The 27,766-nt window shown below is 51.2% G+C and overlaps 1 protein-coding gene across 7 annotated transcripts in view; it reads left to right on the forward strand.

Moving 5' to 3' along the window:
- Positions 1 to 15,609, forward strand: part of PFAS (phosphoribosylformylglycinamidine synthase) — a 22,879-nt gene extending 7,270 nt beyond the window's left edge. For 2 of the 7 annotated variants that reach the window (XM_024450804.2, NM_012393.3), the window contains exons 4-28: positions 150 to 255; positions 625 to 814; positions 928 to 1,033; positions 1,390 to 1,530; positions 1,647 to 1,771; positions 1,958 to 2,086; positions 2,930 to 3,061; positions 3,194 to 3,322; positions 8,043 to 8,116; positions 8,232 to 8,388; positions 8,698 to 8,759; positions 8,898 to 9,059; positions 9,335 to 9,460; positions 9,593 to 9,724; positions 10,018 to 10,248; positions 10,411 to 10,591; positions 10,679 to 10,762; positions 10,985 to 11,140; positions 11,357 to 11,476; positions 11,876 to 12,021; positions 12,151 to 12,358; positions 12,495 to 12,586; positions 12,674 to 12,788; positions 13,656 to 13,979; positions 14,077 to 15,609. In XM_024450804.2, coding sequence (XP_024306572.1) covers positions 150 to 255; positions 625 to 814; positions 928 to 1,033; positions 1,390 to 1,530; positions 1,647 to 1,771; positions 1,958 to 2,086; positions 2,930 to 3,061; positions 3,194 to 3,322; positions 8,043 to 8,116; positions 8,232 to 8,388; positions 8,698 to 8,759; positions 8,898 to 9,059; positions 9,335 to 9,460; positions 9,593 to 9,724; positions 10,018 to 10,248; positions 10,411 to 10,591; positions 10,679 to 10,762; positions 10,985 to 11,140; positions 11,357 to 11,476; positions 11,876 to 12,021; positions 12,151 to 12,358; positions 12,495 to 12,586; positions 12,674 to 12,788; positions 13,656 to 13,979; positions 14,077 to 14,387 — 3,739 coding nt within the window. In that variant the 3' untranslated portion in view covers positions 14,388 to 15,609. Of the gene's footprint in view, positions 1 to 149; positions 256 to 624; positions 815 to 927; positions 1,034 to 1,389; positions 1,531 to 1,646; positions 1,772 to 1,957; positions 2,087 to 2,929; positions 3,062 to 3,193; positions 3,323 to 8,042; positions 8,117 to 8,231; positions 8,389 to 8,697; positions 8,760 to 8,897; positions 9,060 to 9,334; positions 9,461 to 9,592; positions 9,725 to 10,017; positions 10,249 to 10,410; positions 10,592 to 10,678; positions 10,763 to 10,984; positions 11,141 to 11,356; positions 11,477 to 11,623; positions 12,359 to 12,494; positions 12,587 to 12,673; positions 12,789 to 13,655; positions 13,980 to 14,076 lie in introns of those variants that run through there. The other 5 variants (XM_047436295.1, XM_047436297.1, XM_047436296.1 and 2 more) reach the window with 5 other exon arrangements.
- Positions 15,610 to 27,766: the final 12,157 nt, after the last annotated feature.

Below are 27,766 nucleotides of genomic sequence, written 5' to 3' on the forward strand. Positions count from 1 at the left end.
CAGGTTTCTTGTTGCCCAGCCTGAGGCTGAAAGCCAATGGTGAGGGGATAGCGGTGGGAGGTTGTCCAGACAGCAGTAGGCAGGATCCACCCTCCCAGCTGAGGCCTGCCGGGGGTTCTCCAGTCCTAACCATCAGGCCCATTGTTCAGGCTGAACTTCTCCACCCCAACATCCACCAACATCGTGTCAGTGTGCCGCGCCACTGGGCTGGGGCCTGTGGATCGTGTGGAGACCACCCGGCGCTACCGGCTCTCGGTGAGGTGATGGGGAATCAGGAGGAGGAGATGAGCCAGAGATACAAGATTAGATCCTAAGCTCTAGAGAGAAGCAGGGACAGGTGCTCCTGGCTTTAGGCCTGCTCTGTATGGTCGTACAAGTTGTTCACTGCCTGAAAGTACCTGGTTGAGGGGTAAATGGGGCAGAAATCCAGCCTATGCTTCCTTTAATTTGTGCATCCTGGCATGGATTCATACCTGGAAAGGGCGTCTTTTTGTAATCTGAGAAAAAGTGCCATATGGTGTGGCAGTGGGCTAGCCTTGCATGACTAAGAGGGTAGGAAGGTGGACCATTTCTCTCCATTCTTAAACTCTTCACCCCTTGCCCTCTGTGTGTCTGCACCCCTAGTTTGCCCACCCCCCGTCAGCTGAGGTGGAAGCCATTGCTCTGGCTACCCTGCACGACCGGATGACAGAGCAGCACTTCCCCCATCCCATCCAGAGTTTCTCCCCTGAGAGCATGCCGGAACCCCTCAATGGCCCTATCAATATACTGGGTGAGGGCCGGCTTGCGCTGGAGAAGGCCAACCAGGAGCTTGGTGAGTAGCTGGGGAGGGAGATGTAGGGTCCAGGATAGGCCAGTAGGGGTGCTGAGATCTGGAATGTGGCTGCCTGAGTTCCATAGTCACCTCTTCCTGGATTTGTCTCCTAGGTCTGGCTTTAGACTCTTGGGACCTAGACTTCTACACCAAGCGCTTCCAGGAGCTACAGCGGAACCCGAGCACTGTGGAGGCCTTTGACTTGGCGCAGTCCAATAGGTGAGGAGAAATGGGGTTGTTCCCATACCTGAGCCCATGGGTGTTGGGAGAGACCACAGGGGCTCACCTTCATGTTCCTCCCTTGGCTTAGGGGCCTCCCTGAGTCTCTGAGGGCCTGGGCTCCCGTCATCCATCAAGGAGTCTACATTCAAATCTTGGTTTTATCTTCACTTTGGCTCTGGATAGTCCAAAATGACAGAATACTTGAAGATTATGACTTTTTGGAATATATTTTGATCTGTCATCTAAGTATGAATTTGGCTGTAACTCTGCTGTTAAATGCTGGTGAGAAGACATGGCATTAAGAAATGACCCCGTTTCCACCTGCCTTCCCCTCCCTGCATCGCCCCCTGCAGCGAGCACAGCCGACACTGGTTCTTCAAGGGCCAGCTCCACGTGGATGGGCAGAAGCTGGTGCACTCACTGTTTGAGTCCATCATGAGCACCCAGGAATCCTCGAACCCCAACAACGTCCTCAAATTCTGTGATAACAGCAGGTGCTGTGCCCTAGACTGGGTTGGCGTCAGGACCCGGGGAGGGGAGGCCCCAGGCCCTGGTTGGGTTAGTGTAGGTCCCAGAAAGGAAGCAAGGTCCATGACGGGTATGTCCACAGTGCAATCCAGGGAAAGGAAGTCCGATTCCTACGGCCTGAGGACCCCACACGGCCAAGCCGCTTCCAGCAACAGCAAGGGCTGAGACATGTTGTCTTCACAGCAGAGACTCACAACTTTCCCACAGGTGAGCTGGGTTCCCTGGAGAAATAGGTGAGATCACAGAATAGGGTAGGGCAAAGGTCCCAGGCCCCTGGAGTGGGCCTGGGGAAAATAATCAGGGAAATTGGTTGTCCTTATTTTCAGTGGGGGTGGTCAGAGATGGGGGTTTGTCTCTGAGGCACCCAGACCTCTCCCCACTCTCTCTTTGCAGGAGTATGCCCCTTTAGTGGTGCAACCACTGGCACAGGGGGCCGGATTCGAGATGTCCAGTGCACAGGCCGCGGGGCCCACGTGGTGGCTGGCACTGCCGGCTATTGCTTTGGAAATCTGCATATTCCAGGTTCCATCTCCTTCCTCTCTATCCACCTTCCCTTCCAGATTCCTTGTCCTGGCAGGCAGCAAACTTCTATCTGTTAGGTCCATAGGGTTATCCTGTGTGCCTTTTCTCAGGAGGAAGGGCTCTAGGATAGCTGGCCTTTCACTAACTATGGTCATAAGTGTAGACCTGGGGAGATGAGGTGGCCAGACTGCTTTTGCAGGTCTACGATTTTCTTTAAAAACTAGCCTTCATTCAGCCAGAAAGCATGATATTGGGTTGGTCTTATGATCAGTACCTGCCCCTCAAATCTGGTTTCTTAGCCTGAGAAACTTGGCTGGGCGTGGTGGCTCACGCCTGTAATCCCAGCACTTTGGGAGGCTGAGGTGGGCGGATCACAAGGTCAGGAGATCAAAACCATCCTGGCTAACACGGTGAAACCCCGTCTCTACTAAAAATACAAAAAATTAGCTGGGCGTGGTGGCGGGCGCCTATAGTCCCAGCTACTCAGGAGGCTGAGGCGAGAGAATGGCGTGAACCCGGGAGGCGGAGCTTTCAGTGAGCCAAGATCACGCCACTGCACGCTAGCCTGGGTGATAGAGCGAGACTCCATCTCAAAAAAAAAAACAGAAAGCCTGTGTAACTCTGATTGCGAGATTCAGAGGGAAGGCTGGTGTGGGTGGTGGAAAGAAGACCAGTGCCTCACTGCAGGCTCTAGGGCTTCCTAAAGCAGGACTTCCTGAAGTGGAACATTGCAACCATGCAGGTGGTCCTTGGTGGCCTTGACTCTTCCTGAAGGATGCAGGCTGCTCCGGCCTGTCTTCACAGTTCATTCAGTTCATCCAGTTCTCTCTCCTTCCCTCCCAGGTTACAATCTGCCCTGGGAGGATCCAAGCTTCCAGTATCCTGGGAATTTTGCCCGGCCCCTGGAGGTTGCCATTGAAGCCAGTAATGGAGCTTCTGACTATGGCAACAAGTTTGGGGAACCAGTGCTGGCTGGTGAGGCTGGGGTGTGGAGGGATGACAAACACCCAGAGGGGCTTGTGGGTGGGGTGTGCGACCCAGGGGCTGTGCTATTGGGCGAGCACTGGGGGAACTGAGTGACAGGTCCCTCTGATGTTCACACTCCAGGCTTCGCCCGCTCCTTGGGCCTCCAGCTCCCAGACGGCCAGCGGCGTGAGTGGATCAAGCCCATCATGTTTAGTGGGGGCATTGGGTCCATGGAAGCTGACCACATAAGCAAGGAGGCCCCAGAGCCAGGTAAGAGCCTGCCACCTTTCTCTGGATCCAGCCAGCTTTCTCCCCAGCACAGGATGGCTACAGGGAGGGAACTTAGGGAACACTTCAGTGGTTAGTTTTTAATATGTTGGCTTATCTTATGTGTCACATAATGATGGACAACTCATTCTGAGAAATGTGGCTATTAGGTAATTTCATTATTGTGCCCACTTCATAGACTGTACATACACAAACCTAGATGGCATAGCCTGCTACACGATCCACACAGCCTCTTACTGGCAATATTATCCAGGAATTTTGTACACTTGGGAGCCATGATGAACAAAACAGCATGAGAATAAAATAAGCACAAGAGAAAATAATGCAATCAAGACGTGGTGGGCCAGGCAGGGTGGCTCGCACCTGTAATCTCAGCACTTTGGGAGACTGAGACAGGTGGATCACCTGAGATCAGGAGTTCAAGACCAGCCTGACCAACATGCTGAAACCCTGTTGCTACTAAAAACACAAAAATTAGCCAGGCATCTGCCGGGCATGGTGGCTCATGCCTGTAATCCCAACACTTTGGGAGGCTGAGGTGGGCAGATCACGAGGTCAGGAGATCGAGACCATCCTGGCTAACACGGTGAAACCCCGTCTCTACTAAAAAAATAAAAAAATTAGCCAGGTGTGGTGGCGGGCACCTGTAGTCCCAGCTACTCGGAGGCTGAGGCAGGAGAATGACGTGAACCCAGGAGGTGGAGCTTGCAGTGAGCTGAGATCCCACCACTGCACTCCAGCCTGGGCGACAGATGGAGACTCCATCTCAAAAAAAAAAAAAAAAAAATTACCCAGGCGTCATGGTGCATGCCTATAGTCCCAGCCTCCTGAGGCACAAGAACCACTTGAAGCTGGGAGGTGGAGGTTGCAGTGAGTGGAGATCGCACCACTGCGATCGCACCACTGTCAAAAAAAAAAAAAAAGACGTGGTAAATATGAGATAATATGAAGCTACTGTCAATGTAACATGGCATACCGTTTTTAGGTAAACTTTTTTTTCTCTTTTTTGTTAATTATTATTATTTTTAATCTGCATTTTCTTTCTCAAGTCAGATTTTTTTTCTCTTTTTAGAGACAGGGTGTTACTTTGTCACCCAGGCTGAAGAACAGTGGTTCTGTCCTAGCTCACTGTGGCCTTGAGCTCCTGGGCTCAAGCAGTTCTCCTGCTTCAGCCTTCCAAAGCACTGGGATTACAGGTGTGAGCCATGGTGCCCAGCCAGAATAAACTTGCTTTATATAAGTAGAATGAGTACATTCTAAAATAACAGTAAAAAGTATAGTTGGTTGGGCACAGTGGCTCACGCCTGTAATCCCAGCACTTTGGGAGGCCAAGGCAGGGGGATTACTTGAGGCCAGGAGTTTGAGACCAGTCTGGGGAATACAGTCAGACCCCTGTCTCTAAAAAAATTAAGAAATAAAACTTAGCTGGATATGGTGGTGTACACCTGTAGTCCCAGCTACCCAGGAGGCTTAGGTGGGAAGATCGCTTGAGCCAAGGAGCTCAAGGCTGTAGTGAGCTATGATCATACCACTGCACTCCAGCATGAGTGACAGAGTGAAACCCTGTCTCCAAAAAAGAATAAAAATAAAAAATAAATGTAGGCTGAGTGTGGTGGCTCACGCCTGTAATCCCAGCACTTTGGGAGGCCATGGTGGGCAGATCACCTGAGGTCAGGAGTTCAAGACCAGCCTGGCCAACATGGTGAAACCCCCTCTCTGCCAAAAATTCAAATATTAGCTGGGTGTGGTGGCGCGCACCTATAATCCCAGCTACTCGGGAGGCTGAGGCAGGAGAATCACTTGAACCTGGGAGGTGGAGGTTGCAGTGAGCCAAGTTTACGCCACTGCACTCCAGTCTGGACGTAAGAGTGAGACTCTGTCTCAAAAAAAAAAAAATTTTTTTTTAAGTGTGGTAAATACATAAACCAGTAATAGTCATTTATTGTCATTATGAAGTATTATGTAGTATACATACAATAATGGTTTGCAGTATACTTTTGTGTGACTGGCAGTATAGTAGGTTTATTTACAATAGCATCACCCACCAGCGTGCCACGATGCCACTAGGCAATAGGAATTTTTCAGCACAATTATAATCTTAAGGGATCACTGTTGTATATGTGGTCTGTTGTTAAGCAAAATGTCATTAGTCAGCCCATGACCAAAATGGAATCATACAATATGCGGCCTTTTGTGTCTGCCTTCTTTCACTTAGCTTAATGTTTTCAGGGGTTATCCGTTGCATCAGTACTTTATTTCTTTTTATGGCTGAATAATATCCCATTATGTAGCTATGTCGCATTTTGTTTACCCATTCCTTAGTTGGTGGACATTGGGGTTGTTTCAGCTTTTTAGCTATTATGCATAATGCTGCTATGAACATTTATGTACAAGTTTTTTTGTTTTGTTTTGGTTTGGTTTTTTTGAGACGGAGTCTCGCTCTGTCGCCCAAGCTGGAGCGTAATGGCGCTTTCTCGGCTCACTGCAAGCCCCGCCTCCCGGGTTCACGCCACTCTCCTGCCTCAGCCTCCCGAGTAGCTGGGACCACAGGTGCCCACCACCACGCCCGGCTAATTTTATGTGTTTTTAGCAGAGACGGGGTTTTGCCGTGTTAGCCAGGGTGGTCTCTATCTCCCGATCTCGTGATCCGCCTGCCTCAGCCTCCCAAAGTGCTGGGATTACAGGCGTGAGCCACCGCGCCCGGCCTATGTACAAGTTTTTGTATGAACATATGTTATAATTTCTCCCAGGTATATAACTAGGGGTGGAATTGCTGGGTCATGTGGTAACTATGTTCAGCTTTTCAAAAAATTGCCAAACTGTTTTCCAAAGCAGCTGTACCATTTTACATTCTCTCTGGCAGTGTGTGAGGGTTCCAGTTTCTCCACATGCTTGACAACACTTGTTAATATCTGTCCTTTTGATTGTAAGGCATAATAGTGGGTATGAAGCAGTATTTCATTGTGGATTTGGTTTGTTTTTCTCTAATGACTAATGATGTTGAGCGTGTTTTCTTTCTTTCTTTTTTTTTTTTGTAGAGACAGAGTCTTGCTCTGTTACTCAGGCTGGAGTGCAATGGCGCAATCTCAGCTCACTGCAACCTCCGCCTCCCGGGTTCAAGCAATTCCCCTGCCTCAGCCTCCCAAATAGCTGGGATTACAGGCACGTGCCACCACACCTAGCTAATTTCTTTTGTATTTTAGTAGAGATGGGGTTTCACCGTGTTGCCCAGGCTGGTCTCAAACTCCTGAGCTCAGGTAATCCACCCGCCTCAGCCTCCCAAAGTGCTAGGATTACAGGCGTGAGCCACCGCACCTGGCCGAGCATGTTTTCGTATGCTAGTTAGCTATGCGTATATCTTCCTTAGAGAAACATCTATTCAGATCCTTTCCTATTTCTTTTTTCTTTTTTGAGATGGGATCTCACTCTGTCACCCAGGCTGGAGTGCAGTGGTGCGATCTCAGCTCACTGCAACCTCCATCTTCCGGGCTCAGGCAATCCTCCCACCTTAGCCTCCTGAGTAGCTGAGACTACAAGCTCCGGCCACCATGCCTGGCTAATTTTTGCATTTTTTGTAAAGATTGGATTTCACTGTGTTAGCCAGGCTGGTCTCGAATTCCTGAGCTCAAGCGATCCGCCCGCCTCAGTCTCCCAAAGTGCTGGGAGTATGGGTGAGTTCTCCCACAGTTTCTACCCTGGAGCCCCCAGGCTTCAGGACCCTTCCGCATCCAGAGGTTGCAGTGAGCCGAGATTGCATCACTGCACTCCAGCCTGGGCAACCGAGCAAGACCCCATCTCAAAAAAAAAAAAAGTTTTTAGTGTATAAGCCTTACTTCTATTGTTAAATTTATTCCTAATTATTTTTATTCTTTTTGATGCTACTGTAAATAGACATAGATATTTTTGCCTTTTTCATTTTTCGCTTAGCAGTATATCTTGGAAATAATTTCATATTGATGAAATCATATTACTTCATTACATTCCTATATTCTCTTTTTTTGGTGGCTTAGTCTTTCATTGTATAGACTTACCATAGTTTACTTAATGAGGTCTCTGTTGTCAGCCTTTAGGTTATTTCATGTACTTGCTAATACAAACGTTACTGTGGTGTTTAATCTTGTAAGTAGGTGATTTTATACCTGTGCAAATAAATCAGCGGGATGACTTCCTCAAAGTGTATTTACCCAATCAGAGACTGTGTGCATTTGTCATTTTGGTTGTTATTGCCAAATCGTCCTCCGTAGTTGATATCAGTTTACTCTCCTATCAACCCAGTCAAGTGGTAAGGCTTCTGGGCTAGGCAGGGTGGCTCACGACTGTAATCCCAACACTTTGGGAGGCCGAGGTGGGCGGATCACCTGAGGTCAGGAGTTTGAGACCAGCCTGGCCAAGATGGTGAAACCCTGTCTCTACTGAAAAAATACAAAAATTAGCCGGGCACGATAGCAGGCGCCTGTAGTCCCAGCTACTCAGGAGGCTGAGGCAGGAATATCGCTTGAACCCAGGAGACGGAGGTTGCAGTGAGCTGAGATCACACCACTGTACTTCAGCCTGGACAACAGAGCGAGACTCCATCTCAAAAAAAAAAAAGCTGGTCAGGCTTCTCCCTAACATCAGCTTCCTCTGTGTTCACGCTGCCTTGCTTTCGAGGCCTCTTCTCGTGGCTTCCCCAGTGTTCTGATTCTGCCTTCCCTTCTTACAGGCATGGAAGTTGTAAAGGTTGGAGGTCCCGTCTACAGGATTGGAGTTGGAGGTGGAGCTGCTTCATCTGTGCAGGTGAGTGGGAATTGCTAAAGGTGCAGAATCCTTGATATAACCGGGCCCCAGGCATAGGGGAGCGTATAGGAGCTTCCAGTCTCGCTGAGCTGAGCTATGCCATATATGCCCCCAGGTGCAGGGAGATAACACCAGTGACCTGGACTTTGGGGCTGTGCAGCGAGGAGACCCGGAGATGGAACAGAAGATGAACCGTGTGATCAGGGCTTGTGTGGAGGCCCCCAAGGGAAACCCCATCTGCAGCCTTCATGATCAGGGCGCTGGTGGCAATGGTGAGGAAAGGAGTTGGAACAAGAGACTGGGCCTGCCTGGTATCCTGCCAGGTTTCGTTTAGGGAGAGGTATCAGGAATCTCCAACCAACCACCCAGCTCTGGGTCCCATTCTCCATGCTCTGTACATTCTAGACAGGTTCAGGGTTGGAAGGGTGGAAGCCTGCTGCCGTGGGATGATTGGTGGTAAGGGTGCGGCAGCAGTTGACACAGGAACACACCAAATTACAGGCCCCTTTGGAGGCCAGGGACTGCCCTTTGTTGCCTGACCACCACTAGGTCACTGCTTCTCCTTGCAACCCTCTCACCAGGCAATGTCCTAAAAGAGCTGAGTGACCCAGCTGGAGCCATCATTTACACCAGCCGCTTCCAGGTGGGTCTCGTCCCCTGAAGTGTGACATTTTCCCACCCCTGCCAGCCCCAGCCCGCTTCCACCCATCTCTCTTGCAACAACATGAGACGTGGGAGTGCCCACTGGCCCTTCTCTTTCCTCCCCGCCGTGGCTGTGCAGCTTGGGGACCCAACCCTGAATGCCCTGGAAATCTGGGGGGCTGAGTACCAGGAATCAAATGCTCTTCTGCTGAGGTCCCCCAACCGGGACTTCCTGACTCATGTCAGTGCCCGTGAACGTTGCCCGGCTTGCTTCGTGGGCACCATCACTGGAGACCGGAGAGTGAGTTGGCCCAGGGAGTTGGGAGCAAACACTGGGGCAGACATGAGCCACCTGGGTATGGGCTAGAGGGAGAGCTGTCAAGGGAGAGAGACGAGAGGAAGATGGGAGGTAGTGGCAAACAAGCTGTGGGGAATGTTGGATCCAAGGAGGGGCAGGGACTCAATATGGAAACCAAACAAGGAGTGGAAAGCACATTTGTGCCCTGATTTCTAGGAACATTCCTTGCTGGTGTTCATAGTCTCATCCCCTCTGGGTGGGGTCCCTGTGGTCTATAGATAGTGCTGGTGGACGATCGGGAGTGTCCTGTCAGAAGAAATGGCCAGGGGGATGCCCCCCCGACACCCCTGCCAACCCCTGTGGACCTGGAGCTCGAATGGGTGCTGGGCAAGATGCCTCGGAAGGTATGTGGGGTTGAGGGGATGGGTTTTTCCTGTGGTCCTCTCCACACCACCCTTTACCCTACGTGCACTTTGTCGCCTGTGTGCCCAGCCCGCCCCAGGTGTTCACACTGCCTGTCGCTGTCTGTGTTGCAGGAGTTCTTCCTGCAGAGGAAGCCCCCCATGCTGCAGCCTCTGGCCTTGCCCCCAGGGCTGAGCGTGCACCAGGCTCTGGAGAGGGTTCTGAGGCTGCCCGCCGTGGCCAGCAAGCGCTACCTCACCAATAAGGTCCTCCCTGCACCCTTCCTCTGCCCCCTGCCTCCTTCCTCCGCTCAGCCTCTTCTGCCCTCCCACCCTTAGAAAGTGCTGTGGGGGTTTTTGCCTGGCCCTGCAGGAAGCAGCAGGGGCAGGGCAGCCACCCTGATGGCCTGGTCTCCCTGCTACCCACCTTCTAAGTAGAGCTGTTGTCTGCATTGGGGGAAAGACAGGCCTCCCACTGCCCTGAGTGCCTTGGGGGCATGTGCGGGAGCTCAGGCTGTCCCTGTCCCTTGCTCTCTTGCTAACCCCACCTGGTTCCACAGGTGGACCGCTCTGTGGGAGGCCTGGTGGCCCAGCAGCAGTGCGTGGGGCCCCTGCAAACTCCTCTGGCAGATGTAGCGGTTGTGGCACTGAGCCATGAGGAGCTCATAGGGGCTGCCACAGCCTTGGGAGAACAGCCAGTCAAGAGCCTGCTGGACCCAAAAGTCGCCGCCCGGCTGGCCGTGGCCGAAGCCCTCACCAACCTGGTGTTTGCTCTGGTCACTGACCTCCGGGTGAGTTCTCCCACAGCTTCTATCCTGGAGCCCCCGGGCTTCAGGACCCTTCCACATCCATCTGTAGCCCTTCATTTCATGTTGCAACCTCCCAGTCCGCCTGCACCCCTGGCCTCTCCACATTTCTCTTCCCCTCTAATGCTGTGCCTCTGCCACCCCCAGGATGTGAAGTGTAGCGGGAACTGGATGTGGGCAGCCAAGCTCCCAGGGGAGGGCGCAGCTTTGGCGGATGCCTGTGAGGCTATGGTGGCAGTGATGGCAGCCCTGGGTGTGGCAGTGGATGGTGGCAAGGACTCCCTCAGCATGGCTGCTCGGGTTGGCACTGAGACCGTGCGGGCTCCTGGTGAGGTGTGGGAGCCCCAGGGAGGGGAGGAGGAACTATGGAGCTGGGTTGGCAACTCATTCCTTTGGACTCCTCCTTGCTCTACAGGGTCACTGGTCATCTCAGCCTATGCCGTCTGCCCAGACATCACAGCCACTGTGACCCCAGACCTCAAGCATCCTGAAGGGAGAGGTATGGACATGGCCCCATCCTTTGTGATCTTTGCTTGTGTGATCTTTGTTTGGCTCCTGCTTTGTGAGTGCTGGGCCCCCATCTCAACACTGGGCTGTGGTGTTTTCTGGGACTGATTGTCTAGGTGTCTCACCACATGCTGGGAATAGCAGTGCTGTGAGCCCCTCAGGGATGGGTCCTCCTGAGCTGTTCCCCTCCCCTCACCCCTCCCCGTCTCCCCAGGCCATCTGCTCTATGTGGCTCTGAGCCCTGGGCAGCACCGGCTCGGGGGCACAGCTCTGGCCCAGTGCTTCTCCCAGCTTGGGGAACACCCTCCAGACCTGGACCTTCCTGAGAACTTGGTGCGGGCCTTCAGCATCACTCAGGGGCTGCTGAAAGGTGAGTGAAGACCCCTGGGGAGATAGCGCACAGGGTGCCAGGCGTGCAGCAGGCGTTCACCATCTGAGCAGTGGGGCAAAAGGGACTCCAATGGACGATGTACCCCAGATCCCCTGACATTCTGACACACACTCTTGATGGACTGACTCCGGAAGGTGGGGTGGGGCTGTCAGGTTTGGGTCCCGAGGTTGCTGAGCTTTCTTCTCCTTCCTCCAGACCGCCTCCTCTGCTCAGGCCACGATGTCAGTGACGGAGGCCTCGTCACATGCCTGCTGGAGATGGCCTTTGCTGGAAATTGCGGGCTACAGGTGGATGTGCCTGTCCCCAGGGTTGATGGTAAGGAACCTGGGGTCTAGTCTCAGGCCCGGGCTGCCTTCTCTACCCTGCAGACCCCATTTCCAATATATTAAAGAGTGGAGTGCCCTCCAGTCCCCTTTCCCTGAGTCTTCCCTGACTAGCTTTTCTGTGCTGTCTCTCTGACAGCTGAACTGGATGGAACTGGCTGACACCCACCATGTTCCTGACTGCACCCCTCTGAGACTTCCCATCCCTGAGATGTCCATGATGAAACATCCTCAGTCCTGCCGTCCTAGCCCTCATCCTCCCTGATCCCTACCCTACTCTCTGGCTGCATCCCTCTGACCCTCACCCTGGCCCTTCCTGCATTTCCCTGATCCCGCCCCAACTCCCTTGGCCCTTCTTGCATCCCCCTGACTCCCCACATTGCTCTCCCAGTCCTGTCTGTGCTGTTCGCTGAGGAGCCAGGCCTCGTGCTGGAGGTGCAGGAGCCAGACCTGGCCCAGGTGCTGAAGCGTTACCGGGATGCTGGCCTCCATTGCCTGGAGCTGGGCCACACAGGCGAGGCCGGGCCCCACGCCATGGTGAGGAAGTGAGGGAGAGAGCGGTGTGCAGTGGGCAGTCAGAGTGGGGTGGCCGCGGTCCATCCCTCTCCCACTGTGGAGGGGGCCATCCTTTCTCCTAGCCCGTGGGAGATTTGTTCCTCTTCCTAGGTCCGGGTGTCAGTGAACGGGGCTGTGGTTCTGGAGGAGCCTGTTGGGGAGCTGCGAGCCCTCTGGGAGGAGACGAGTTTCCAGCTGGACCGGCTACAGGCAGAGCCTCGCTGTGTGGCAGAGGAGGAACGGGGCCTGAGGGAGCGGATGGGGCCCAGCTATTGCCTGCCCCCCACCTTTCCCAAAGCCTCCGTGCCCCGTGAGCCTGGTGAGGGAGTGTGTGCAGAGGCTCCGCGTCCTGGGGGCACTGAGCCTGGATGCCTGGGCCTGCCCTCAGAAAGGTGTCTGGGGAGTTGGGGTGGGGAAGTGACTTTCTGGCCCAAAGACACTTATTCTCCCCCAAGGTGGTCCCAGCCCCCGAGTCGCCATCTTGCGAGAGGAGGGCAGTAATGGAGACCGGGAGATGGCCGATGCCTTCCACTTAGCTGGGTTTGAGGTGAGCAGGGTAGGGGGCAGCTGGGGGTGATTGTCCAGCCTCAGCTGCGTGTCCTCCCACCCACACTCCCCCTCCCCACCTTCGCAGGTATGGGACGTGACCATGCAGGACCTCTGCTCTGGGGCAATTGGGCTGGACACTTTCCGTGGCGTGGCCTTCGTGGGCGGCTTCAGCTATGCAGATGTCCTGGGCTCTGCCAAAGGTCAGTGTGCAGGCTTCTGCCCACTCCCTTCCCCCACATTCCTGAAGAGGTGCCTTTAGCCCCATCTTCCTGGGCTGGGGATTGGCCTCTCACTCCACCGAGCTACGAGAGAGTGGGCCCATTCGTTCTGGGCCACATGCCAACAGAAGGCTGGTAGTAAATTTTTAATTTTTTCATTGAAAAAAAGTATATATATACACATATGTAATTAAAATATATATTATTAAATATATATTATTTATATATATTATTTATATATTATTAAAATGTATATTATTTATATATTATTAAAATATATATTATTTATATATATTATTTATATATTATTAAAATATATTATTTATATATATTATTTATATATTATTAAAATATGTATATTTTTAAATATATATATATATATATATGTATTTTTTGAGACGGAGTTTCACCCTTGTTGCCCAGGCTGGAGTGCAATGGCGCAATCTTGGCTCACCGCAACCTCCACCTCCTGGGTTCAAGCGATTTTCCTGCCTCATCCTCCCAAGTAGCTGGGATTACAGGCATGCAAAAATACAAAAATTAGCCAGGCGTGCTGGCGGGCGCCTGTAATCCCAGCTACTTGGGAGGCTGAGGCAGGAGAATCGCTTGAACCCAGGAGGCAGAGGTTGTAGTGAGCCGAGATCATGCCACTGTACTCCAGCCTGGGTGACAGAATGAGATTCCATCTCAAAAAAAAAAAAAAAAGAAAGAAGGAAAGGAAGGAAGGAGGGAGGGAGGGAAAAGGAAGAAAGAAAAAAGAAAAGAAACAGAGCAGTTATGCCCCTTCATTCCCAATTCCCTTTTTTGAGGTCCTCCATGTCTCACCCTGACTTCCCTATTCCCTGCTAGGGTGGGCAGCTGCTGTGACCTTTCATCCCAGGGCTGGGGCTGAGCTGAGGCGCTTCCGGAAGCGGCCAGACACCTTCAGCCTGGGCGTGTGTAATGGCTGTCAACTGCTGGCTCTGCTCGGCTGGGTGGGAGGCGACCCCAATGAGGATGCTGCAGAGATGGGCCCTGACTCCCAGCCAGCCCGGCCAGGCCTTCTGCTACGCCACAACCTGTCTGGGCGCTACGAGTCTCGCTGGGCCAGCGTGCGTGTGGGGCCTGGGCCAGCCCTGATGCTGCGAGGGATGGAGGGCGCCGTGCTGCCCGTGTGGAGTGCGCACGGGGAAGGTCAGGCCCAAGGAAGGCTGGGGGAGGGCCCGAGGGTTGGGGGCAAGGGTGGGCATGAAGGACCTTGGCTCTCACTTCCCTCCTCCTTCCATCCCAGGTTACGTAGCATTTTCTTCTCCGGAACTCCAAGCTCAGATTGAGGCCAGGGGCTTGGCTCCACTGCACTGGGCTGATGATGACGGGAACCCCACAGAGCAGTACCCTCTGAATCCCAATGGGTCCCCAGGGGGCGTGGCTGGCATCTGCTCCTGTGATGGCCGCCACCTGGCTGTCATGCCTCACCCTGAGCGGGCCGTTAGGCCTTGGCAGTGGGCATGGCGACCCCCTCCATTTGATACTCTGACCACCTCCCCCTGGCTCCAGCTCTTTATCAATGCCCGAAACTGGACCCTGGAAGGGAGCTGCTGACTGGCCACAGGGGCTCACCTGGGCCCCATGGCTTTTCACCTAAGTGGGTCCTGCCCCCTCCCCCATGACCTTCAGGAGCACCCCATATTATTTCCAAAAATATCTTGGACAGACAAGGACCAAAATGCCAAAATCTCAGCGGACTCGATAATCTGCCTGCTGATGTTCCTTCTGTGGCTGTGTCTATTTTCAGTTCTGCTCTAACATGGCATGCCCTTTCTCAGCCCAGGAAACAGCATGTGGTTCAGAGAAAAGAGCGACAAGGAAAAGTTAGGACTCCTGAGGTCCGAACAGGGGCTTCTGTTGCCCACTTCACAACACCCAGTGATCACCGGTGTGCAATTGCCTCCTTGGCTCTGAGGGATGTTTTGCGCTCCCTTTTCTCATCATTGGGGTTAGCGGGTGCAGACAAATTCAGCAATAGTATGCAGATCAGCCCCTCACCACCTCATTGTTCTCATCTGGAACTGAAACTTTCTGGATTTCTCTTGAAGTGCTACACTGCACTGAATGTAAGGAATTGTTGCTTGTGGAAGTTTCTCAGCGTTTCTGGCTGTCTTAGGGCTGGCCTCAGAACCCAGCATTCCTGTTATTTGCTTCTAAATTAGCAGCTCTCTTTTTTTTTTTTTTTTTGAGGCAGTCTCACTCTGTCACCCAGGCTGGAGTACAATGGCGTGATCTCGGCCCACTGCAACCTCTGCCTCCTGGGTTCAAGCAATTTTCCTGCCTCAGCCTCCCGAGTAGCTGGGAGTACAGGCACACACCACCACACCCAGCTAATTTTTGTATTTTTAGTAGAGATAGGGTTTCACCATGTCTCCCAGGCTGGTCTCAAACTCCTAACCTCAAGTGATTCGCCTGCCTCGGCCTCCCAAAGTGCTGGGATTACAGGTGGGAGCCACTACAGCTGGCCCAGCAGCTCTGTTTCTGATAGAGGTGGTTGGGGCTCTCATCCCTAGATCCTAACCCTTTAGTATGCTGGAATTCTACTCTTCACTTACTGCATTGACTGTTGTTGATTAGTTATTATTGCAAAGCACTGTCACCGGCCTCAGGGAGTTTATGTGTAATAGAATTAAAAATAATAGCTGTGTATAACACTTAGCTCAAGCCACGCATGTGTGAGGCATTTGGTATGTATCTGAATTAATTCTCACTAAAATTCAGCAAAGGACTTGATAGCCCCTCCCCGCCTTTTCAATAAAGGATGAATGAAGGTTGACTGCATTGCCTGGGGTCCACAGATGGTGAGGGGGGCTGGGCGCACCCATACTACATCTGCTTCCCGCCATCCTGCAGTCTTACTTCCTGGAGGCAGTGTGTTGAGACTTTGTGCTGGCAGCTGTCTGTTGCTTCCTTTGCTCACAGGACTGTGGATAGAGGTCCCTTCCTCATGACTGTTCTGTTGTACACCTCAAGTCAGTTGGCTCCCTAGAATGTTCAACATCTTGATAAAAGGAGTTTGCCTGAGAATGGAGACTATAATCCCAGATCCCTGAGGGCTAGGAGAGCTGGGTGGGGGCGCTGAGCACTTCTGTGTGCTCCTGGTAGAGTAGCCACCCTGAGAAAAAACTGATAATAATGAAACAATGTTAAATGATGGCTATGGGGAAAACAACTATTTCAGAGATTTTTCTCATTGCTTTGCAAAGCGACCTACCCTGAGCAGTATGGGACTCCTCCGGATCATTTTTGACATTTGAATGTTCTTTCCTGACCCTTGGAAAGGATATATGTATGTCTTTCAAATTTATAGTATCGAACATACAATTTGGGGGCTGGTACCAAGGGTTAGATATTAAGTTTATTAAGTGCTTGATGCAAAAGTCAAAGGATGGCATGGGAGGTAACCTGGTTGGCTGTGATAAGTAAACTCGTGGATTTTGAAGGGGGAGCAGTTTCTGGTTTGGGTCGCAGTGGCCAAGTAAGACCCACCCTCCTCAGACACTATCAAGACCAAGTCCACTGGCTTTTCATCCGTGTTTTCATCCAGTAACCAAATAACCCTGTCCTTGCTGACCCCCACCCAGCTCCATTCCCACTCACCCACTCCCAAGGGCCCTCTGGTGAACCTTCCAGGCTAGCTCTCTGCTCCCTCCTTGCCTTCATGGAAAACCAGCTATCCTCTGAGAGCCACTTCTGCAGCCCCTCCAAGTGGTGGCTTTTCTTCTCAAACCTCAACCTCACATATCTCATCTTCCCCAGGCTGGGGAGTCGGGGTCCTCGTACCACTGCCAGACTGTTCACCCAGTTCAAAGAAAACCCTGCCCGTTGCAGGCTCATGCCATTCTACTACATCCCTTTCATCCAGTTCTTTGTGTTCTACTGACTTCCCCAGCGCTTCCTTTGGGAGAAGGTGCCAATTCTTCAATAGTTGATTCCTCTCTAGAAATACAATGTTCCTGCCAGGTGCGGTGGCTCATGCCTGTAATTCCAACACTTTGGGAGGCCAAGGCTGGTAGATCACCTGAGTTTGAGACCAGCCTGGCCAACATGGTGAACCCCGTCTCTACTAAAAATACAAAAATTAGCTGGGTGTGGTGGTGTGTGCCAATAATCCCAGCTTCTCGGGAGGCTGAGGCAGAAGAATCGCTTGAACCCAGGAGGCGGAGGTTGCAGTGAGCCGAGATCACGCCACTGCACTTCAGCCTGGGCAACAGAGTCTGTCCCAAAAAAAAAAAAAAAAAGAAAAAGAAAGAAAGAAATAGAATGTTCCAGGGCCGGGCGTGGTGGCTCACACCTGTAATCCCAGCACTTTGGGAGGCCGAGGTGGGCAGATCATGAGGTCAGGAGATCGAGACCATCTTGGCTAACACAGTGAAACCCCGTCTCTACTAAAAGTACAAAAAAAATTAGCCAGGCGAGGTGGCGGGCGCCTGTAGTCCCAGCTACTCGGGAGGCTGAGGCAGGAGAATGGCGTGAACCCGGGAGGCGGAGCTTGCAGTGAGCGGACGTTGCGCCACTGCACTCCAGCCTGGGCGACAGAGTGAGACTGTGTCTCAAAAAAAAAAAAAAGAAATAGAATGTTCCAGTATTTTAGCTGGGGTTGTGGCTGCTGAAAATAAAGATGACATCTCCCAGCTTCCCTCCCAGTTATGATTAAATTGTGGCCAATGGTAGAGAAAATGATGTATACAATTTGCAAGTGTTCTTACAAGAAGGGTACATTTTCCCCTTTATCCATTCTTGCTTCCTATTGTTTGGAATGCAGACACGACAGCTGGAAGTTCAGTAGCCATACTGAAGTAGCTTTGGGAATTGGTACCATGCAGAGCAACAAGATAAGAGGAAGGCTCTTCCTCTTATCTACTTGGGAGGCTAAGGTGGGAGGATCACTTGAGCCCAGGTGGTTGAGGCTGCAGTGAACTGTGATCATACCACTGCACTCCAGCCTGGGCAACAGAGCCAGATCCTGTCTCAAAAAAGAAAAAAAGATCAAAGGAGACTGGTTCTTCCAACACTGAGGAGTGCCATGAGGACAAGATAACACTGAATGTCTTGAGTGTAGGAAATGAACTTGTGTCTTGGTTTTTGCTTTTGTTTTTCATTGAGACAGAGTCTCTCGCTCTGTCTCCCGGGCTGGAATACTGGAGTACAGTGGTGTGATCTCCGCTTGCTGCAACCTCTGCCTCCTGGGTTTAAGCGATCCTCCCACCCCAGCCTTCTGAGTAGCTGGGATTACAGGCACGTGCCACCATGCCCAGCTAATTTTTGTATTTTTAGTAGAGACGGGGTTTCGCCATGTTGGCCAGGCTGTTCTTGAACTCCTGACCTGAAGTGATCTGCCTGCCTCCATCTCCCACAGTGCTGGGATTATAGGCATAAACCAAAGCGCCAGCCTATCTTGTTTAAGCACTATTAATTTTGGTGTTTTCCATCCCTTGTAACTAAACCTTACCCTATTCAACCACTCCTAACTCGCTCTCATTCTTTAAGGGTATTAGGCCCTGGTTCCCTGTCTTGTGCTTCACTTCAGCCCCTTCTGTTATCCTGTATCCATGTCAGTGACCATCCAACACTCTGAACTTTTCTACAGTGACCTTCATTCCACCTCAGCTAACTATCCCACTTGGATTTTATCACCCAGGATCGGCTCTATCTCCAAACTTATTTATTCAGGCGTCCTGTTTCCAACCATAAGGCTCTATCTCCAAACTTATTTATGCAGGTGTCCTGTTTCCTTCCAACTTTTTTTCTTTTTGAGATGGAGTCTCACTCTGTCGCCCAGACTGGAGGGCAGTGGTGCGATCTCAGCTCACTGCAACCTCCACCTCCTGGGTTCAAGCGATTCTCCTGCCTCAGCCTCCCAAGTAGCTGGGATTACAGGCATGTGCCACCATACCTGGCTAGTTTTTGTATTTTTAGTAGAGATGGGGTTTCACCATGTTGGCCAGGATGGTCTCAAACTCCTGACCTCAAGTGATCTACCCACCTTGGCCTCCCAAAGTGCTGGGATGACAGGCATAAGCCACCATGCCTGGCCCTTTCCTTCCATCTTTCTTCTTTATCCACAATACTCTGAGATTTCAAAGTAATTAGGACCTCCAGTGCAATAATTACTTTACCCCAATCCATTGCTCCTTTTCTTCCCTCCTTATCCAGCTTCCAGTAACAGCCTTTCCAAAACCCCTTCACTTGAGCTATGACCTTTTCATCATACCCATTTGGCAAACTCCCAACCTACCTGCTTTCTCTGAGAAAGCCAGACAGAACAGGTTCTCTCATAAGTTCATCATTAACCACGTATGGGGAAACAGGGAATGGGAAGGAAAAATGGAGATGAAAGGTTAATAAGAAAGTGCCCAAGTGGGCCTTTGATGATACAATGTGCCATGAACCCAGGGTCATGATGACCTTAGTTCTCTAAACCTGAGGTCTAAAAGCAAAAACAATTTACAACAACATACACACCTAGTGATCAAGTCCTTCCTTTGGGTTTCAGCTGGGTCAATAGCGCTGCTCAAATCCTTTGTGAGAGGTTATTTCAGTAGCACCACATACCTCCCTTTTCAGCCCAAGTCTCTGTTGTACTTTATTTTTCACCATTGCAATCAATGAACTGTGAACTGTTTTTGTTTAGAGATGGAGTCTACCTCTGTTGCCCAGGCTGTAGTGCACTAGCGTGATCTCAGCTCACCACAACCTCCACCTCCCGGGTTCAAGCAATTCTCCTGCCTCAGCCTCCCGAGTAGCTGGGACTACAGACACGTGCCACCATGTCTGGCTAATTTTTATATTTTTATTTATTTTATTTTATTTTATTATTTTTGAGAGGGAGTCTCTGTCGCCCAAGCTGGAGTGCAGTGGCGCGATAATTTTTATATTTTTAGTAGAGACAGTTTCGCCATGTTGATCAGGATGGTCTTGAACTCCTGACCTCTTGATCTGCCCGCCTCGGCCTCCCAAAGTGCTGGGATTACGGGCGTGAGCTACTGTGCCCGGCCTGAATTGTTTCTTTGATCAAAGATCTGTCTCCCTGTTAGTGTGTAAGTTCCATGGATAGGAGACCCATTTTTGCTCCCCACCGTGTCCTAATACCTAGCACAGTGCCCGGCACCTAGTAGGTGCTCAATAAATATATGCTGAACAAATTAATACATATGAATGTTAAAATTAGTAAGTATTGACATACATTTTTTTCTCTTAATACAAAAGTGAATTAGTGGATTGGGTTCATGGGTGCTTGGACTTTGTACACCCTCTCAAGCATTTCCCCTTTTTACCTCATTTGTCCAGTTAAAGTCACGAGTTCTTGTTATCAGGTCAAATGAAGGGGACTGGCCCTGTGTAAGTGGAAAGACAGGGAGAACCAGTAAGTCTCTTTTCTTTCTTGAGATGGAGTCTCACTCAGCTGCCCAGGGTGGAATGCAGTGGCGCGATCTAGGCTCACTGCAACCTCCGTCCCTCAGGTTCAAGCAATTCTCCTGCCTCAGCCTCCCAAGTAGCTGGGACTACAGGCGCAGGCCACCACGCCTGGCAAATTTTTGTATTTTTAGTAGAGACGGGGTTTCACCATGTTGGCCAGGATGGTTTCCATCTCTTGACCTTGTGATCCACCCGCCTCGGCCTCCCAAAGTGCTGAGATTACAGGTGTGAGCCACCGGGCCCGGCCTCTTTTCTTGCTTGGTTTAACATTTTTTCTTTTCTTTTTTTTTTTTCCCGCTTAGTTTAACATTTGCCTGGCAGCCAACAGGGCCCTTCAGTTGCACAGAAAAAGACACATCACTGAACTAAGCACACATTACTGTCATCCTCAGTTGCTAGAAGGAGCACTACTGGCTGGGGAGGCAGCAGGCAGGGGCTAAGCACAGAAAAGGAGTGTGAGTGAGAGCATCCAGATGGGACCACCTGGTAGGGGCCATCTGTTTTAGAGAGGCTTCCCGCCAGGGCACCCTCTGCTCTCCAACAGGCCAGCCCACCAAGGGACTTCGTTCTGAACTGTGTCTGGGACACTGCTCAAACTAGAACATAGATAATGGAGAAAGACTGGAAAGAAGAGGGGTGGGCATCAGTCAGTGGTGAGCCTGGTGAAGGAATGTCTCCCACGGCAGCTGGGTGGTCAGTATCCTGGGGCCTGGCTAGCAGTGTGCTCCCAGCACCTGCTGTATGTAAGACCCTGTGGTGGTGGAAACCAAACAAACCTTCTGTCACTGGACACTTGGGGGTGGCAAACAGCCAGATGGTAGAGACCGGAGGCCTGCTGCAGTGGAGCCTGGGTCTTGGCATCTTGTGGGGCTTCAGGAAACCTTTCCGTGTGAGCAGCCCACTAGGAATGCCTGCGACATTGGGCCATCCTCCCCCAAGCAGGAAGGGCTTTGTGCAGCTCCCTCTGCCTGGTCAGGCTGGAGGGGCAGCCTGCGACTACAGAATGAGACAGAACACTGTGAAACAGCCCTGCCCATACTGTCACTCAGGGAACAACATTGTCAAGGGCCTCCTCCTGAGGGACACACATGAGGGAGATAGACTTGGAACAAGTGATTTCAATCCAGTGACTTTTAGGGGAAGCTCAGGGTGCCGTGGAGCTCATAGCAGGGGATGTGGCCCAGACTTTTGGGATCAGGGAAGGATTCTCGGAGTGAGCTGAGACCTGAAGGATGAGTAGCAGTTTGTTACATGAAGGTGAGTGGCACTCTAGAAAAACAACAATATTTGCAAAGCCTCAGAGGCAAGAGACATGGTAAAGAGCTAAACAAAGGTGAGTGAGTCTGTCTGGAACATCAAGTATAATATAACTGGGAAACAGGACAGGCAAAATCGAAGGCCTAACAGAACAGGAATCTGGACTTGATTCTAAGAGCAACGGAAGCCATTTGGAGGGGTTTATACAGCAGATAGATAGACATGAGGGGGTCTGCATTTTTGAGAAATCACTCTGAGAGGAGGGAGGCAGGAGAGGACATGGGAGTCCACAGAGAAAGCTACACAGTCTCCAGGCAGAAACAGTGCTAGCTCGGACTACCGTAGTGGCAGTGGAAATGGCGAGAAGTGGAAGGATTCCAGGGCTATTAGGAGATAGAATCACCATGAATGGCCAGGTGCGGTGGCTCACGCCTGTAATCCCAGCACTTTGGGAGGCTGAGGCGGGCAGATCACAAGGTCAGGAGTTCGAGACGAGCCCGGCTAACATGGCGAAACTCCATCTCTACTAAAAATATAAAAATTAGCGGGGTGTGGTGGTGCACGTCTGTAATCCCAGCTGCTCAGGAGGCTGAGGCAGGAGAATTGCTTGAACCTAGGAGCCAGAGGTTGCAGTGAGCTGAGATCACACCACTGCACTCCAGCTTGGGCCACAGAGCGAGACTCTGTCTCAGGGGTGGGGGTGGGGGGAGGAATCACCACGAACTGGGTGTTGGGGAAGAGGGGTGGGGAGAGAGGAGCCAGTGATGATGCCCATGCTTCTTGCTTGAACCACTGGGTAGATAGTGTCATTACCTGTGATAGGGACATGTCTGGGAGGAAGATGATGTGCTTTGCTTACGATGTGTTCAGTTTGAAATGTCAATGAGACATGTAGGTGGAGGCATCCAGGAGGTGGTCAGAAGAGATCTGGGATGGAGATGAATATTTGGGAAGCACTGGTATGTGGATGGGTAAGGTTATCTAGGGGGAGTGTGCAGGGCCTGGTAGCCCAACATTGAAGGGGTTGACAGAAAAAGAGGAAGCTGAGAAGGAATGGCCACGACTAACCCAACAGTCTAACCAGTTGAGCGGCTTCCCACTGCCCGGCGATCCAAGGCAACAAGAGAGATTAGGAAGCAGGCCTGTTCACCACAACTCCTCTCCCCTAGATCATTGCCAAACGCAGTACAACGGCCCTCCCCACTCCCAAACATCTCACCTGTGGAAAGTTACAGGGAAGTGGCCTTGGCTAAATCAAGCAGATGGAAAGAGCTAAATTAGGCTGGGTACAGTGGCTCAGGCCTGTAATCCCAGCACTTTGGGAGGCCGAGGAAGGAGGTCGGGAGTTTGAAACCAGCCTGACCAACATGGAGAAACCTCGTCTCTACTAAAAACACAAAATTATCCGGGCATGGTGGCACATGCTTGTAATCCCAGCTACTCAGAAAGGCTGAGGCAGGAGAATCACTTGAACCCAGGAGGCAGAGGTTGTGGTGAGCCGAGATGGAGCCATTGCATTCCAGCCTGAGCAACAAGAGTGAAAAAAAAAAGAAAAAAGCTCAATTATGTGTCTCAAAAAAAAAAAAAAAGAAAGAAAAGAGCTAAATTATGTGGTGCTTTGGAAGCTGGGACCACATGGACTCTTAAGAGGGATGGCACCTTCTAAGAGGTTCCAAGGGCGGAAACAAGGGGCAGTTCCACTGGGTTTCAGACACAGAGATCCCAGCCTGGATTGTCGTGGAGGATGAAGCTGCTCCATCTTGGATGCTGATCCGCCATGTTGTCCTCTGGTTAACCCCTGTTCTGGAATGCCTCCTCTAAGATTGCCACTTTATCTACTGTGACCTTAAATCCTGCTCTTAGGTAGATTCACATAGCATTCTGCGCCTTTCCCTGAGGGGTTGACTTCAGTGGTGCCACACATTTCTACTGAGGCATGTGTACCTTTTGCATCAGGTATATCAGCCCTGGGACTCGGGGATAACTGACTGACGGCTGCCTGGCTTCTGTTTCTAAGTTGCTATTAAATGTTTCTTTCTGAGAAACTGGATACATCAATCAGTCTCCCTCTTTTTTTTTTTTTTTTCTTTTTTGAGATGGAGTCTTGCTCTGTCACCCAGGTTGGAGTGTAGTGGTGGCACTCTCTCAGCTCACTGCCACCTCTGCCTCCTGGGTTCAAGTGATTCTTCTGCCTCCCGAGTAGCTGGGACTACAGGAGCACACCACCACACCTGGCTACTTTTGTATTTTTAGTAGAGATGGAGTTTCACCATGTTGGCCAGGCTGGTCTTGAACTCCTGACTTCAGGTGATCTGCCAGCCTTGGCCTCCCAAAGTGCTGGGATTACAGGCGTGAGCCACCGTCTCTTTCTTCAGCCTCTCAGCTCCCTTGGCCTTTGGGTAGGTTTGCATAGACTGCTTGTGGATGTGGAAAGTCCTCCTTCCCTTGGTGCCTGTTGTGCCTCTGTCTCCGCAGGAGGCCCATAGGATTCTGAAGAGCTGTGATGGGAGCCCTGCCTCGGCTCTCCATCAGACTCAGGACAGGCCACCAGGGCTGCTATCCGTCACCACACACCACCTCTCCCGTTTGACAGTGTCCAAATTGCCTCCTCTTCCCCACTTCTGGAATATGTGTTGAGAGACAGCAGTGAGATGCAGGAGGGCGTGTGTCTGTGGAGAAGTCAAAACTAAAGGTTGCCAGAATCTAGTTGGAAAAATACGTCCCTTGTTCCTGGTTGGGAGAGCAGTGGGGCCATGTGCTGTTAGCTGGCTCCAGGCACAGGGTCCTTATGGAGAAATGTACAGAGCACTGGCATATGGATGGTGGTCCCCGCTGCACTGGCACTGATGATCTTATGCTGAAAAGGGATGCATGACAGAATCAGAGGAATTGGACTCCATTGTAGGGAACTAGGGGACAGAGGATAAAGTGCCCAATCTCGTGACTTAGCAGCAGCAAAGAAGAGAGGCCCTCTTTCCTCTTTGCCCTACTTACAACCCAAACCCTCCAACTCTGTCTTTCTGTCATTGGTGTCTCCATTCTTTTTTTTTTTTTTTTTTTTTTTTTTTTTTTTTTTGAGGCAAAGTCTTGTTTGGTTGCCCAGGCTGGAGTGCAGTGGCACGATCTCAGCTCACTGCAACCTCCGCCTCCCGGGTTCAAGTGATTCTCCTGTCTCAGCCTCTTGAGTAGCTGGGATTACAGGTGTGCGCCACCACACCTGGCTCATTTTTGTATTTTTAGTAGAGACGGGGTTTCACCATATTCGTCTTGAACTCCCGACCTGGTGATCTGCCTGCCTCAGCCTCCCAAAGTGCTGGGATTACAGGCGTGAGCCACCCGGCTGGTGTCTCCATTCTTCGTGACCAGGCTTCCATCTTGGAACCTGCTCTACATTTTTCCCCTCCACCTTGTGCATTGTCCCATATTATTGTTTTCCTTCTGCATTGCTCGTCCTGGCTTCATCTCTCCCTCTCCTAACTGTAACAGCTTAGCACAGACTCTCATCCCTCCACACACACTATACAAGTCTGGGGCTGACCACCCAGAGTTAGTGTCAGATCCCTGAAGTAAAGGTCTGAGTCTTCCACAAGACTCCCCTCATTTCAGACACTAGTCACAAATCTCAGGCGTCCCCAAGTCAGCCACACTTTGCCTGACTGGCTTTATGTTCAGAAGTTCCCACAATCCCCACAGGCTCAATAATTCACCAGAAGGACTCACAGAACTCAGAGAAGCACTATACTTATGATTGTGGCATTATAGTTTTATTATAAAGAATATGCATTGGTGTCCAGGCACGGTGGCTCACGCCTGTAATCCCAGCATTTTGACAGGCCGAGGCAAGCAGGTCACCTGAGGTCAGGAGTTCAAGACCAGCTTGGACAACATGGCAAAACCCCATCTCTACTAAAAATACAAAAATTAGGCTGGGCGCGGTGGCTCACGCCTGTAATCCCAGCACTTTGGGAGGCCGAGGAGGGCGGATCACCTGAGGTCAGGAGTTCAAGACCAGCCTGACCAAGATGGTGAAACCCCGTCTCTACTAAAAATACAAAATTAGCCAGGCGTGGTGGTGCATGCCTGTAATCCCAGCTACTCAGGAGGCTGAGGCAGGAGAATTGCTTGAATCTGGGAGGCGGAGGTTGCGCTGAACCGAGATTGCACCATTGCACTTCAGCCTGGGCAACAATAGCGAAACTCCGTCTCAAAAACAAAAACAAAAAAAAACAAATAAAAATACAAAAATTAGCCGGACATGAGATTGTGTCACTGCACTCCAGCCTGGGCGACAGAGTGAGACTCACAAAAAAAAAAAAAAAAAAAAAAAAAGGCCGGGCATGGTGGCTCACGCCTATAATCCCAGCACTTTGGGAGGCCGAGGCGGGCAGATCACGAGGTCAGGAGATCAAGACCATCCTGGCTAACACGGTGAAACCCCATCTGTACTGAAAATACAAAAAATTAGCCAGGCGTGGTGGCGGGTGCCTGTAGTCCCAGCTACTCTGAAGGCTGAGGCAGGAGAATGGCGTGAATCCAGGATGTGGAGCCTGCAGTGAGCAGAGATCGTGCCGCTGCACTCCAGCCTGGGTGACAGAGCGAGACTCCGTCTCAACAACAACAACAAAAAAGAATATGCATAGGGAAGGTTGGAACAGGTCCCAGAATCTGAGCTCCTGTGGGGACTGCTGAGGAGTCAGGGCACAGAGCCTACTGGCACATCAATGTGTTCACCAACCAGGAAGCCTCACTGAACTTCAGTGTCCAGAATTCCTATTGGGGTTTTATTGGGCTGATATCAACTGGGCCAAAGCTCCAACCCTCTAATCACATGGTTGATCTTTCTGGTGTGGCTCACCCCCATCCTGATTCATGTCCTTAGCATAACCTATCTAGAGGCCCACCATGAGTCACCTCATTAGTATAAACCATTAGGGCCTATCAAGAATAACAACTCCAATAATGGGAAATTCCACAGATTTTGAGTTTTTCAGGAACCAGGCATAAAGGGCAATTAAGTTTTTTGTTTGTTTGTTTGTTTGTTTTGAGACAGAGTCTCCCTCTGTAGCCCAGGCTGGAGTGCAGTGGCTCAATCTCAGCTCACTGCAACCTCTGCCTCCCGGGTCCCAGTTCAAACAATTCTCCTGCCTCAGCCTCCCGAGTAGCTGGAATTACAGGCATGTGCCACCATGCCCAGCTAATTTTTGTATTTTTGGTAGAGATGAGGTTTCACCATGTTGGCCAAGCTGATCTTGAACTCCTGACCTCGTGATCCATCCGCCTTGGCCTCCCAAAGTGCTGGGATTACAGGCTTGAGCCACCGTGCCTGGCCTTTTTGTTTTTGCTTTTGAGACAAAGTCTTACTCTATCGCCCAGGCTGGAGTGCAGTGGCACCATCTGGGCTCACTGCAACCTCCCCCTCCCGGATTCAAGTGATTCTCCTGCCTCAGCCTCCTTAGTAGCTAGGATTACAGGCACCCACCAGTGCGCCCGGCTAAGTTTTGTATTTTTAGTAGAGACGGGGTTTCACCATGTTGGCCAGCCTGGTCTTGAACCCCTGACCTCAGGTGATCCACCCGCCTCTGCCTCCCAAAGTGCTGGGATTACAGGCGTGAGCCACTACGCCTGCTCTTTCATTTTTATTTTTATTTTTATTTTTTTTAAGAGATGGAGTCTTGGCCAGGCGTGGTGGCTCACGCTTGTAATCTCAGCACTTTGGGAGGCTGAGGCGGGCGAATCACCTGAGGTTGGGAGTTCGAGATCAGCCTGACCAACATGGAGAAACCCCATCTCTACTAAAACTAAAAAAAAATTAGCTGGGCATGGTGGTGCATGCCTGTAATTCCAGGTACTCAGGAGGCTGAGGCAGGAGAATCACTTGAACTTGGGAGGCGGAGGTTGTGGTGAGCCGAGATCGTGCCATTGCACTCCAGCCTGGGCAACAAGAGCGAAACTCCGTCTCAAAAAAAAAGAGAAAAAAAGAGATGGAGTCTTGTTCTGTCATCCAGGCTGGAGTGTAGTGGTGTAATCATAGTTCACTGCAACCTCAAACTCCTGGACTCAAGCAATCCTCCTGCTTCAGCTTCCCTGGGACTACAGGTGTGCATACCACCATGCCCAGCTAATTATTTAAATTTTTGGTTGAGATGGGGTCTGGCTACATTGCCCAGGCTGGTCTCGAATTCCTGGGCTCAAGTGATCGTCCCACCTTAACCTCCCAAAGTGTTGGGATTACAGGCTGAGCCACTGCGCCTGGCCCA

This window comes from Homo sapiens, chromosome 17, assembly GCF_000001405.40.
Source record: "Homo sapiens chromosome 17, GRCh38.p14 Primary Assembly".
NCBI lineage: Eukaryota > Metazoa > Chordata > Mammalia > Primates > Hominidae > Homo > Homo sapiens.